General features: G+C 40.1%; 1 long non-coding RNA gene and 1 pseudogene across 10 annotated transcripts in view; both read left to right on the forward strand.

The window, feature by feature from the left end:
* Positions 1-15,017, forward strand: part of LOC107985664 (uncharacterized) — a 270,484-nt gene that overhangs the window by 56,780 nt on the left and 198,687 nt on the right. The gene's annotated exons all lie outside the window — the stretch shown is intronic.
* Positions 2,748-6,011, forward strand: BRAFP1 (BRAF pseudogene 1; annotated as a pseudogene).

Genomic DNA, 15,017 nt, shown 5'->3' on the forward strand with positions numbered 1-15,017 from the left:
TGCAATAAGGATACACAACTAGATTATAAAGGAAAAAGACACAGGTGAAGTCTAGAGAAATCCCTGTGCAAGCCTTGTATGCTCTCCTTCTCTAAGAGGGGTGACACAGAGTGCACATTTAGCCCAGCAATGAAAATGCAGCAACTTGTGTGAAATGATTTCTACCATGGAAGCACACTAGAGACTCAGGACCCAAGATTTTTACTGGGGACTAATCACACAAGCACTCCCTGCCTGGCACATGCCAAATTGCCGGATTCAGCAGGAAGGTAGGTGTTCAGCAAAAATCATATAGCTTGCACATATAATCTACAGTGTGCCTCCCTAATAAGTTATCTGTTGACTGAGAATACTCCAGAACCAAGGTTGAAGATGTCAGCTAAGGGCCAACCTTGTAACTAGGCCCTTCTAAGAATAGCAGTCTCAGGCCTGCTAAATTAAATCTTTATCGCTCACCATTTATCTAATGTGCTATAGCTGAAATTGATAATCAGAATGTTCTCAGGCCAGATAATCTTTCAGAATCATATTCCTCTGCTACCTCCTAAGATTGGGGGCCTGTTTTAACTTCAGGATAATAGGAAAAGGGAAAGTTATCTATAAAAGAAAGTCTACCTCACTTGGTATAGACTGAGTTTTTCTGGCCTCTGATGCTGTAAGTTGTGATAGCTACATTAGACCTCCATGAAATTTTGGGATTTTTCAATGTGATATATTCATGTCTCAGTAATGGCCTTGATCATCAACTTTCTTTTCTCACATTGGGTAGCTGCCTTTAGCCATGACCAACTTTTTTTGAAAATTAGTAACAGAGAAATAATTTGCCTGGGTAAATGGTTGGATATTCATAGGCCAATATTATGAGATAAAAGTTTTTAGCTCCTGGAGTGCAAAACTATTTTCTGTATAACTCTTTCCTTTTCTGGAAAAGTAATTTAATGGAGTAGTCATTATGAAAGGATGATAAAGAGCTATCAGTAATATCTAGCAACTCCAGAGCTGCTAAACTTCCTTGATTGTCTGGAGGGCTTCTTGGTATAGAACTTCTGATGTTCTTTCTAGAATCATGTGGATGCCACGGCTCAACAAGGCATAATTCAAGAGCTTCTCTTTTATTCTTAAAAGCAAATTTCTCGAGGTTGACCTAGAAGGGAGAGTGGTATACCTGGTCTAAAATCAAGAGTGTCATTCACTTTTAAGGAGATGTGACTTAGAACTTCCCTTTCCCTGGGAATTTAGGTAAATATAGCTTGAATCCTCAATTTTATAACCTGTGCAAGTCTAGTATTCTCCCCATGATTGCTGTGAATGTTCAGTCTTATATCTTCCCATATGCCTCTCTGCTATTTAGAGACAGAAAGTAGGTATTAGTGGTTGCTCTCCCCACCCCAGTGATAGGGGTGGGGAGAGCTATGAGGGGAAATGAGGAGCGACTGCTATTGTGAATGCAATTTATTTTAGAGGTGATGAAAATGATGTAAAACTGATTGTGGTGATGGTTACACAACTGTGAATTTATGAAAAATCATTAAATTGTATGGGTGTATTCACTTTAAATGGGTGAATTGTATAGTAGGTAAATTTTATTTCAATAAAGGTGTTACTTTTTTTAAAAAAGTAAGGACATGTGTAGATTTATTAGGTATTGCAGATTTGCCACCAGAAGTGTTGTAGCAGTTTGCTTTCTCACCATGAACGTATGAGAGTGCCTGTTTCCTCGCAGCTTCACCAACAGAATATGTTGTCATTTTTTTTTGCCAGTCTGATAGGTGAGAAATTGTGTCTCAGTGTATTTTTACTTTGCATTTCTCTAATTCTGAGTTTGAACATCTTTTCATATGTTTGAGGATAGTTTTTATATCTTTTGTGTGAATTGTCTGTTTATGTATTTTCCCTATTTTTCTATTGGGTTTTTGGTTTTATTCTTTCAATTTTTAAGACTTCTTTGTATGTTAGGAATATCAGCCATAGTCTGTCAGTATCCACATCCTTAACCATTACACTCCATTGACTTCCTGCTCTGGTACTTTATCCACTTAAACCCAATTTTTCTAACTTCTATACTTGTAAATGTCTCAAATACTTAACATAGAATGATTTAAATGTAGTATAGGCCCTTAAAACCTACTATTTAGGGGCATGTTTCAAGCCATGTTCTCCTGAAGCTCTACCAGTTCTGGGAAAATGGAGGTGGGTAGTACAGCTGGATAGCCTATTCTGGGAGATTTGGGGAAGTATTTGCTTCTAAGACTCTTTGCTATTTATTTTTCTCTGTAGCCCCAGCCCTACAAAATGAAGAACCTAATATCTCTCTGTTGCAGTCTGTTCGGCCATCCTTAATGCTATTAAGTAAAGGTGGAATCATAGTTACTGAGGTAGCAAGTCATCTTGCTTTGGTAGTCAGTGTATGGGGAGGAGCAATAAAGGAATTTCACCATTCTGTTTAACTTCACTCTTCTGGAGCTGCACTGTTGATCAGCATACGAAAAAAGCTATAAAGCTTTTATTTTGTCTTTTAGCTGTGCCATCTTAAGACCTTGTCCAGCATCCTTAGTATTCTCCCTTTTGGAGTGAGTCTGCCTTATCATTATTATTATTGTTATTGCTATTATTGCTTTGCCCTTGACTGCCTTCACCTGCCTTGTCCTTGACAGCTTGGAAGTTTCTTTAAAAAGTAAACATGCAATTACCACATGACACAGTAACTGAATTTGGGGGCATTTATCCCAGATAAATAAAAACATATGATAAGATGGCGGTGCTGAGCAGTGGCGGTGGTGGCAGTGCGGAGCCCGGTGAGGCTCTATTCAACGGGGACGTGGAGCCTGAAGCCGGCGCTGGCGCCGCGGCCTCTTCGGCTGTGGATCCTGCCATTCCCGTGGAGGTTATCTTCTAAAAATGTAGAAACCAGACTTTTAACTTTTAAACCAACAGAAGAGAACAAATGATTAATAAAAATTAATCCCAAAGAAGTGAAGAAAAGAAAGAACCAGTAGGACAAATACCACAAAGTATGGAATATCAAACAAATAATCAATTAAGTTGACACAGGAACATATAGAGGCCCTATTATACAAATTTGTTGGGGAGCATATTCCACCATCAATATATCTGGAGGCCTATGAGGAATACACCAGCAAGCTAGATACACTCCAACAAAGAGAACAACAGTTATTGGAATGTCTGGGGAACGGAACTGATTTTTCTGTTTCTAGCTCTGCATCAATGGACACCGTTAAATCTTCTTCCTCTTTTAGCCTTTCAGTTTTTCTCTTTCAGTTTTTCAAAAAACCTTTATCTCTTTCAGTTTTCCGAAATCCCATAGATGTGACATGGAGCAACCCCAAGTCACCACAAAAACCTATTGTTAGAGTCTTCCTGCCCAACAAGCAGAGGACAGTGGTACCTGCAAGGTGTGGAGTTACAGTCGGAGACAGTCTAAAGAAAGCACTGATGATGAGAGGTCTAATCCCAGAGTGCGGTGCTGTTTACAGAATTCAGGATGGAGAGAAGAAAACAATTGACCAGGACACTGGTGTTTCCTGGCTTACTGGAGAAGAATTGCATGTGGAAGTGTTGGAGAATGTTCCACTTACAACACACAACTTTGTACGAAAAACATTTTTCACCTTAGCATTTTGTGACTTTTGTCAAAAGCTGCTTTTCCAGGGTTTCCGCTGTCAAACATGTGGTTATAAATTTCACCAGTGTTGTAGTACAGTTGTTCCACTGATGTTTGTTAATTATGACCATCTTGATTTGTTGTTTTTCTCCAAGTTCTTTGAACGCCACTCAATACCCCAGGAAGAGGCCTCCTTAGCAGAGACTGCCCTTACATCTGGATCATCTCCTTCGGCACCCCCCTCAGATTCTACTGGGCCCCAAATTCTCACCAATCTGTCTCCTTCAAAATCCACTCCAATTCCACAGCCCTTCCGACCAGCAGATGAAGATCACTGAAATCAATTTGGGCGAGACCGGTCCTCATCAGCTCCCAATGTGCATATAAGCACAATAGAACCTGACGATATTGATGACTTGATCAGAGACCAAGGATTTCGTGGTGTTGGAGGCTCAACCACAGGTTTGTCTGCCACACCCCCTGCCTGGGTCACTCACTAACGTGAAAGCCTTACAGAAATCTCCAGGACTTCAGTGAGAAAGGAAGTCATCTTCATCCTCAGAAGACAGGAATCAAATGAAAACACTTGGTAGACAGGACTTGAATGATGATTGGGAGATTCCTGATGGGCAGATTACAGTGGGACAAAGAATTGGATCTGGATCATTTGGAACAGTCTACAAGGGAAAGTGGCATGGTGTTGTGGCAGTGAAAATGTTGAATGTGGCAGCACCTACACCTCACCAGGTAGAAGCCTTCAAAATGAAGGAGGAGTACTCAGGAAAACATAACACATGAATATCCTACTCTTCATGGGCTATTCCACAAAGCCACAACTGGCTATTGTCACCCAGTGGTGTTAGGGCTCCAGCTTGTATTACCTTCTCCATATAATTGAGACCAAATCTGAGATGATCAAACTTATAGATATTGCACAACAGACTGCACAGGGCATGGATTACTGACACGCCAAGTCAGTCATCCACAGAGACCTCAAGAGTAATAATATAGTTCTTCATGAAGACCTCACAGTGGAAATAGGTGATTTTGGTCTAGCCACAGTGAAATCTTGATGGAGTGGGTCCCATCAGTTTGAACAGTTGTCTGGATCTTTTTTGTGTATGGCACCAGAAGTCATCAGAATGCAAGATAAAAATTCATACAGCTTTCAGTCAGATATATATGCATTTGGGATTGTTCTGTATGAATTGATGACTGGACAGTTACCTTATTCAAACATCAACAACAGGGACCAGATAATTTTTATGGTGGGACAAGGATACCTATCTCCAGATCTCAGTAAGGTACGGAGTAACTGTCCAAAAGCCATGAAGAGATTAATGGCAGAGTGCCTCAAAAAGAAAAGAGATGAGAGACCACTCTTTCCCCAAATTCTCACCTCTATTAAGCTGCTGACCCGCTCATTGCCAAAAATTCACCACAGTGCATCAAAACCCTCCTTGAATTGGGCTGGTTTCCAAACAGAGGATTTTAGTCTATATGCTTGTTCTTCTCCAAAAACACCCATCCAGGCAGGGGGATATGGTGCATTTCTTGTCTACTGAAACAAATAAGTGAGAGAGTGCAGGAGAGTAGAAACAAAAGGAAAATAAATGAACATATGTTTGCTTATATGTTAAATTGAATAAAATATTCTTTTTTTTAAGGTGAACCAAAGAAAACCTGTGTGGTTAAAGACTAGATATAATTTTTCCCCAAACTAGTATTTCTACTTAACATCACATTTTTAACATCCAAGGATTAAAATACATAGACATTGCTAAAAATTGGCAGTGCCTCTTCTAGAGGCTTTACTTTCTATTCCGGGTTTGTTTCATTCACTTGGTTATTTTAAGTATTAAACTTCAGTTTTCTCATGCAACTTTTGTTACTAGCTATCACATGTCCACTAGGGACTCCAGAAGAAGACCATACCTGTGCCTATGTTTGCAGGTGGGAAGTTGGCAGTAGGTTAACCTGGGTTAGATAAGGCAAACTGAATAGATCTAATTTAGGAAGTCACTAGAATTTAATAATTCTATTTTTATTCTTAATACTTTTTCTTTCTTTCTTTTCTTTTTTTTCTTCTTTTTTTCTTTTTTGAGACAGAGTCTTGCTCTGTCGCCCTGGCTAGGGTGCAGTGGTGCAATCTCGGCTCACTGCAAGCTCCGCCTCCTGGGTTCATGCCATTTTCCCACCTCAGCCTCCAGAGTAGCTGGGACAACAGGCACCCACCACCACGCCCGGCTAATTTTGTTTTTGTATTTTTAGTAGAGATGGGGTTTCACCGTGGTAGCCAGGATGGTCTCCATCTCCTGACCTTGTGATCTGCTTGCTTAGGCCTCCAAAAGTGCTGGGATTACAGGCATGAGCCACCGCGCCCAGCCCTTAATACTTTTTCTATAGTGATTTTACAACAATTTGGAAAATGTGGATAACCTTTATTTCCTTGAAGCAATAAACTAAATTTCTTTTTATAAATTGTGAGTGCAGGTGACCAAAAATATTGCTGAGGAGTAGCATACTTGACATGAGTAAAATGTCTTAACTTTGGATTTTTAGTGGGAAAATGTTATAAATAGGAATTCCTTTTAAATAACTTTTTAAAAAATATATTAAGGATGTCTTGCTCATGGAGAAGTCAAATTTCATTGCAAATGCATTGCCCCCTTCACACCCACTTCCTCCACTGCAAAAAATCTTCACAGAATTCTGTGAGAACTTTTAGATGTGTTTTTCTTTGAGATAACTCTGGTTTCCAAACACCAGGTAATAGATATTTTAAAGTTCTCTATTAGATTATTCTTACCTGTTATTATGCATCTTTTAGCAATCACCTTATCATTGTCTCATGAAATTTCGGTCCTCCTTATATTCTTTGCCCAGCAAGATTCTACTTATGATGAATGAATGCTATTCTCCTTTTTGCATTCCATAGTATGAAGTATTTGTTAGTGTTCTCTAATACTTATACTTTGTTGTGTAGAAAGTGGGAGTATCGAGCCAAGATGGCTGAATAGGAACAGCTCCGGTCTACAGCTCCCAGCATGAGCGATGCAGAAGACGGGTGCTTTCTGCATTTCCATCTGAAGTACCGGGTTCATCTCACTAGTGAGTGCCAGACAGTGGGAGCACCTTGCACGAGCCGAAGCAGGGCGAGGCACTGCCTCACTCGGGAAGCGCAAGGGGTCAGGGAGTTCCCTTTCCTAGTCAAAGAAAGGGGTGACAGACAGCACCTGGAAAATTGGGTTACTCCCACCTGAATACTGCGCTTTTCCGACGGGCTTAAAAAACGCCGCACCAGGAGATTATATTCCACACCTGGCTCCCAGGGTCCTACGCCCACGGAGTCTTGCTGATTGCTAGCACAGCAGTCTGAGATCAAACTGCAAGGCGGCAGTGAGGCTGGGGGAGGGGCGCCCGACATTGCCCAGGCTTGCTTAGGTAAAGCAGCCCGGAAGCTCTAACTGGGTGGAGCCCACCACAACTCAAGGAGGCCTGCCTGCCTCTGTAGGCTCCACATTTGGGGGCAGGGCACAGACAAACAAAAAGACAGCAGTAGCCTCTGCAGACTTAAATGTCCCTATCTGACAGCTTTGAAGAGAGCAGTGGTTCTCCCAGCACGCAGCTGGAGATCTGAGAATGGGCAGACTGCATTCTCAAGTGGGTCCCTGACCCCTGACCCCCGAGCAGCCTAACTGGGAGGCACCCCCCAGCAGGGGCAGACTGACACCTCACATGGCTGGGTACTCCAACAGACCTGCAGCTGAGGGTCGTGTCTGTTAGAAGGAAAACTAACAGAAAGGACATCCACACCAAAAACCCATCTGTACGTCACCATCATCAAAGACCAAAAGTAGATAAAACTACAAAGATGGGGAAAAAAGAGAGCAGAAAAACTGGAAACTCTAAAAAGCAGAGCGCCTCTCCTTCTCCAAAGGAACGCAGTTCGTCACCAGCAACGGAACAAAGCTGGACGGAGAATGACTTTGACAAGCTGACAGAAGAAGGCTTCAGACGATCAAATTACTCCGAGCTACGGGAGGATATTCAAACCAAAGGCAAAGAAGTTGAAAACCTTGAAAAAAGTTTAGAAGAATGTATAGCTAGAATAACCAATACAGAGAAGTGCTTAAAGGAGCTGATGGAGCTGAAAACCAAGGCTCGAGAACTACGTAAAGAATGCAGAAGCCTCAGGAGCCAATGCAATCAACTGGAATAAAGGGTATCAGTGATGGAAGATTAAGTGAATGAAATGAAGTGAGAAGTGAAGTTTAGAGAAAAAAGAATAAAAAGAAACGAGCAAAGCCTCCAAGAAATATGGGACTATATGAAAAGACCAAATCTACGTCTGATTGGTGTACCTGAAAGTGACGGGGAGAATGGAACCAAGTTGGAAAACACTCTGCAGGATATCATCCAGGAGAACTTCCCCAATCTAGCAAGGCAGGCCAACATTCAGATTCAGGAAATACAGAGAATGTCTCAAAGATACTCCTTGAGAAGAGCAACTCCAAGACACATAATTGTCAGATTCACCAAAGCTGAAATGAGGAAAAAATGTTAAGGGCAGCCAGAGAGAAAGGTTGGGTTACCCACAAAGGGAAGCCCATCAGACTAACAGCGGATCTCTCAGCAGAAAATCTACAAGCCAGAAGAGAGTGGGGGCCAATATTCAACATTCTTAAAGAAAAGAATTTTCAACCCAGAATTTCCTATCCAGCCAAACTAAGCTTAATAAGTGAAGGAGAAATAAAATCCTTTACAGACAAGCAAATGCTGAGAGATTTTGTCACCACCAGGCCTGCCCTAAAAGAGCTCCTGAAGGAAGCGCTAAACATGGAAAGGAACAACTGATACCAGCCGCTGCAAAATCATCTCAAAATGTAAAGACCATCGAGACTAGGAAGAAACTGCCTGAACTAACGAGCAAAATCACCAGCTAGCATCATAATGACAGGATCAAATTTACACATAACAATACTAACTTTAAATGTGAATGGACTAAATGCTCCAATTAAAAGACACAGACTGGCAAATTGGATAAAGAGTCAAGACCCATCAGTGTGCTGTATTCAGGAAACCCATCTCACGTGCAGAGACACACATAGGCTCAAAATTAAAGGATGGAGGAAGATCTACCAAGCAAATGGAAAACAAAAAAAGGCAGGGGTTGCAATCCTAGTCTCTGATAAAACAGACTTTAAACCAACAAAGATCAAAAGAGACAAAGAAGGCCATTACATAATGGTAAAGGGATCAATTCAACAAGAAGAGCTAACTATCCTAAATATATATGCACCCAATACAGGAGCACTCAGATTCATAAAGCAAGTCCTGAGTGACCTACAAAGAGACTTAGACTCCCACACATTAATAATGGGAGACTTTAATACCCCACTGTCAACATTAGACAGATCAACGAGACAGAAAGTCAACAAGGATACCCAGGAGACGAACTCAGCTCTGCACCAAGTGTACCTAATAGACATCTACAGAACTCTCCACTCCAAATCCACAGAATATACATTTTTTTCAGCACCACACCACACCTATTCCAAAACTGACCACATACTTGGAAGTAAAGCTCTCCTCAGCAAATGTAAAAGAAAAGAAATTATAACAAACTATCTCTCAGACCACAGTGCAATCAAACTAGTACTCAGGATTAAGAATCTCACTCAAAACTGATCAACTACATGGAAACTGAACAACCTGCTCCTGAATGACTACTGGGTACATAACGAAATGAAGGCAGAAATAAAGATGTTCTTTGAAACCAACAAGAACAAAGACACAACATACCAAAATCTCTGGGACGCATTCAAAGCAGTGTGTAGCGGGAAATTTGTAGCACTAAATGCCCACAAGAGAAAGCAGGAAAGATCCAAAATTGAGACCCTAACATCACAATTAAAAGAACTAGAAAAGCAAGAGCAAACATATTCAAAAGCTAACAGAAGGCAAGAAATAACTAAAATCAGAGCAGAACTGAAGGAAATAGAGACACAAAAAACCCTTCAAAAAATTAACAAATCCAGGAGCTGGTTTTTTGAAAGGATCAACAAAATTGATAGACTGCTAGCAAGTCGAATAAAAAAGAGAAGAATCAAATAGACACAATAAAAAATAATAAAGGGGATATCACCACCGATCCCACAGAAATACAAACTACCATCAGAGAATACTACAAACACCTCTATGCAAATAAACTAGAAAATCTAGAAGAAATGGATAAATTCCTCGACACATACACTCTCCAAAGACTAAACTAGGAAGAAGTTGCATCTCTGAATAGACCAATAACAGGATCTGAAATTGTGGCAATAATGAATAGCTTACCAACCAAAAAGAGTCCAGGACCAGATGGATTCACAGCCGAATTCTACCAGAGGTCCAAGGAGGAACTGGTGCCATTCTTCTGAAACTATTCCAATCAATAGAAAAAGAGGGAATCCTCCCTAACTCGTTTTATGAGGCCAGCATCATCCTGATACCAAAGCCGGGCAGAGACACAACGAAAAAAGAGAAGTTTAGACCAATATCCTTGATGAACATTAATGCAAAAATCCTCAATAAAATACTGGCTAACCGAATCCAGCAGCACATCAAAAAGCTTATCCACCATGATCAAGTGGGCTTCATCACTGGGATGCAAGGCTGGTTCAATATACGCAAATCAATAAATGTAATCCAGCATATAAACAGAACCAAAGACAAAAACCACATGATTATCTCAATAGATGCAGAAAAGGCCTTTGACAAAATTCAACAACCCTTCATGCTAAAAACTCTCAATAAATTAGGTATTGATGGGACATATCTCAAAATAATAAGAGCTATCTATGACAAACCCACAGCCAATATCATACTGAATGGGCAAAAACTGGAAGCATTCCCTTTGAAAACTGGCACAAGACAGGGATGCCCTCTCTCACCACTCCTATTCAACATAGTGTTGGAAGTTCTGGCCAGGGCAATGAGGCAGGAGAAGGAAATAAAGGATATTCAATTAGGAAAAGAGGAAGTCAAATTGTCCCTGTTTGCAGATGACATGATTGTATATCTAGAAAACCCCATCATCTCAGCCCAAAATCTCCTCAAGCTGATAAGCAACTTCAGCAAAGTCTCAGGATATAAAATCAATGTGCAAAAATCGCAAGCATTCTTATACACCAATTACAGACAAACAGAGAGCCAAATCATGATTGAACTCCCATTCACAATTGCTTCAAAGGGAATAAAATACCTAGGAATCCAACTTACAAGGGATGTGAAGGACCTCTTCAAGAAGAACTACAAACAACTGCTCAAGGAAATAAAAGAGGATACAAACAAATGGAAGAACATTCCATGCTCGTGGATAGGAAGAATCAATATCGTGAGAATGGCCATACTGCCCAAGGTAATTTACAGATTCAATGCCATCCCCATCAAGCTATCAATGACTTTCTTCATAGAATTGGAAAAAGCTACTTTAAAGTTCATATGGAACCAAAAAAGAGCCCACATTGCCAAGTCAATCCTGAGCCAAAAGAACAAAGCTGGAGGCATCATACTACCTGACTTCAAACTATACTACAAGGCTACAGTAACCAAAACAGCATGGTACTGGTACCAAAACAGAGATATAGATCAATGGAACAGAACAGAGCCCTCAGAAATAATGCCGCAAATCTACAACTATGTGATCTTTGACAAACCTGACAAAAACAAGCAATGGGGAAAGGATTCCCTATTTAATAAATGGTGCTGGGAAAACTGGCTAGCCATATGGAGAAAACTGAAACTGGATCCCTTCCTTACACCTTATACGAAAATCAATTCGAGATGGATAAGAGACTTAAACATTAGACCTAAAAACGTAAAAACCCTAGAAGAAAACCTAGGCATTACCACTCAGGACATAGGCATGGGCAAGGACTTCATGTCTAAAACACCAAAAGCAATGGCAACCAAAGCCAAAATTGACAAATGGGGTCCAATTAAACTAAAGAGCTTCTGCACAGCAAAAGAAACTACCATCAGAATGAACAGGCAACCTACAAAATTGGAGAAAATTTTCGCAACCTACTCCTCTGACAAAGGGCTAATATCCAGAATCTACAATGAACTCCAACAAATGTACAAGAAAAAAACAACCCCATCAAAAAGTGGGCAAAGGACATGAACAGACACTTCTCAAAAGAAGACATTTATGCAGCCAAAAAACACATGAAAAAATGCTCACCATCACTGGCCATCAGAGAAATGCAAATCAAAACCACAATGAGATCACCATCTCACACCAGTTAGAATGGCAATCATTAAAAAGTCAGGAAACAACAGGTGCTGGAGTGGATGTGGAGAAATAGGAACACTTTTACACTGTTGGTGGGACTGTAAACTAGTTCAACCCTTGTGGAAGTCAGTGTGGCGATTCCTCAGGGATCTAGAAGTAGAAATACCATTTGACCCAGCCATCCCATTACTGGGTATATACCCAAAGGACTATAAGTCATGCTGCTATAAAGACACATGCACACGTATGTTTATTGCGGCATTGTTCACAATAGCAAAGACTTGGAACCAACCCAAATGTCCAACAATGATAGACTGGATTAAGAAAATGTGGCACATATACACCATGGAATACTATGCAGCCATAAAAAATGATGAGTTCATGTCCTTTGTAGGGACATGGATGAAAGTGGAAATTATCATTCTCAGTAAACTATCACAAGAACAAAAAGTCAAACACCGCATATTCTCACTCATAGGTGGGAATTGAACAATGAGATCACATGGACACAGGAAGGGGAACATCACACTCTGGGGACTGTTTTGGGGTGGGGGGAAGGGGGAAGGATAGCATTGGGAGATATACCTAATGCTAGATGACGAGTTAGTGGGTGCAGCGCACCAGCATGGCACATGTATACATATGTAACTATCCTGCACAATGTGCACATGTACCCTAAAACTCAAAGTATAATAATAATAAATTAAAAAGAAAAAAGAGAATACTCATGCACAATACAATACCACAATACAATACCTTTCGGACTTGTAAATGTATGAAAAAGAATGAATAATATTTCTAGAAGGATGCAGGTCAATATCATGATTATTCTTCTCTTTAAAATAGAGTTTCTCAACCTGAGTGCTATTAACATTTAGGACTAGATAATTCCTTGTTGCAGGCTCTCCTTGCATTGCTGGATGATTGGCAACATCCCTGCCCTCTACCCACTAGATGACAATAGCACCCCCAAAACTGTCCTGGTTGAGAACCACTGCTCTCTGCAAAAAGAGAAGATAATGTGTGAAGATGGTTAACATTAGTTTTTAAATCTACATTTGTAATATTTTTGTTCTTAAAAAATATTGTAAGAAAACATATGTCAGTTGTTCATTTGAGTGATAAAAATATAAGGGTTTGCTGTTTTGTTGAGTCTCATACATTTATAAAATAAAAACTACCATCTATGAGCACTATAATTTTGTGTATTAAAAGGGTAATTTTTAAATCAAACCAGCAGGAAGGCTAGACTAAGATGAGGTGTTGTGGGCTGAGAAAGACATGTTGAAGTCTTAACACCTGGTACCTGTGAATGTGACTTTATTTGAATACAGGGTCTTTACAGATGTCATCAAGTCAAGATGAGGTCATACTGTAGTAGGCCGTACTGCAAATCTAATCCCTAGTGTCCTTAGAGAGATAGAGAGATGTGGACACAGAGACACAGGGAAGACAACCATGTGATGATGGAAGTGGCCACTGGAGTGAGGCCACTACAAGCCAAGGAACGCCAAGGATTGCCGGTAACACCAGAAGCCGGGAAGAGGCGAGGAAGGAATCTTCCCTAGAGACTTCAGAGGGACCGTGGCCCTGCCAACACCCTGGTTTCAGACTTCTGGCCTCCAGAACTATGAGCTAATAAATTTTTGTTGTCTTAAGCCACCCAGTTGCTGGTACTTTGTTAGAGCTGTCCCAGGAAACTATTGCATAAAGCTATGCTCCTTTTCCAACTCGCTGCATTGCTGGGAAGGTCTTCATTCTCCTACCAACCAGTGAAAACATTGTCTCAAGCCAACTTGCCTTTGCCAGCCACAGGGAAGCTCAGGGGCTCTGGCCAGCTAGAGAACAAGGAACCCTGTAGCTTCCCCACTGCTGTGTTGTGTAGTGGTAGAACAAGATGGGAAAACAGCAGCATTCACAGCAGAGCTGACACTGATTCTGCGAGCTTTGCCAAGTGGTACCTCAGTTTACTCATCTGAGCAATGGAACAAAAAGAACAAACCACAGAGACATCTGGAGGACAAAATGAGATCATGTATATGAAAAGGACTTACAAATGCAAACTATCATTGGCACCAAGCTGTCATTTCACACCTGGACCAAAGAAAAGACAATTAGCCCCAGAAAAGACAATTAACTTGATACCTTTAGGAAGAAAAAAAAAATCTGTCTTTGAATATAATTACTTTTATACTTGCTTGGGAAATCTCTATCCAGTCTCAAGAGGGTTAAAAATGAGGAAGGGAGACAGATACACACTGAAAAATGACAGCAAAAATAAAACCAATTAAAGTTTTTATACCATGGTCCCTAAAAAAAAAAAAAAAAAAAATGACTGTAATGTGATGGTCAGTGTATTCTTACTCTGATTCGGGAAATCAAAAGTAGAAAGCAACAGCAGGTGGGCCTATCAAAGATTTGGCCATCTCTCTACTTCATTGTCAGCCTCTTAACTCTATCTTCACTTACTCAATTTGGTTTTGTCATGATTTTTAAATGTAGCCAATGGTTCAAGATTTTTCCAGTGAACAGACATCTGTATAAATGCTTCCTTGAAGTCAATAAAGAAGAAAATTGTGAAGACTTTAAATTAATGATAATTTAGTTTTTAAGTACCCACAAATAAATTTTTGAAACATTATCTTTACTTGAAAGTTAGATGTCATCCAGGAAAATCACTCAATAATAATTATGGCAAACCGTTAACCCCTCATTTGGTTAGCTTAAGATAAGTAATGCCATTATTATTTCAGAATTGTTTCATGACTTTCAGTTTAGTTAAGAAAATAAAAAGGAGCATTTCTCATATTTTAAAAAATGAGACTAAGAAAGGAATAAAGAAATGTAACTATTGGAAAATATCAAAGTGTATCATTTTTAAAGCCTTTGGTGGCACTGAAGATATGATTATTAGTAATTGTTAGATAGGGTTTTACTCATTCAAAATAGAAGACTAGCAAGCATGTAACTAACAGAGTTTTTAAAAACTTTACTTTGTCTGTGGAATACTCTGAAAGTTTGGCCATTTTGAGGCACAAGGTTTATTGATAGAGCTCTTTCTATAATTTCCCAGCATACCTGCCTCACTGTTATCTTCCTTCCATTTTTCACTCT

This window comes from Homo sapiens, chromosome X (genome assembly GCF_000001405.40).
Source record: "Homo sapiens chromosome X, GRCh38.p14 Primary Assembly".
Classification (NCBI taxonomy): Eukaryota; Metazoa; Chordata; class Mammalia; order Primates; family Hominidae; genus Homo; species Homo sapiens.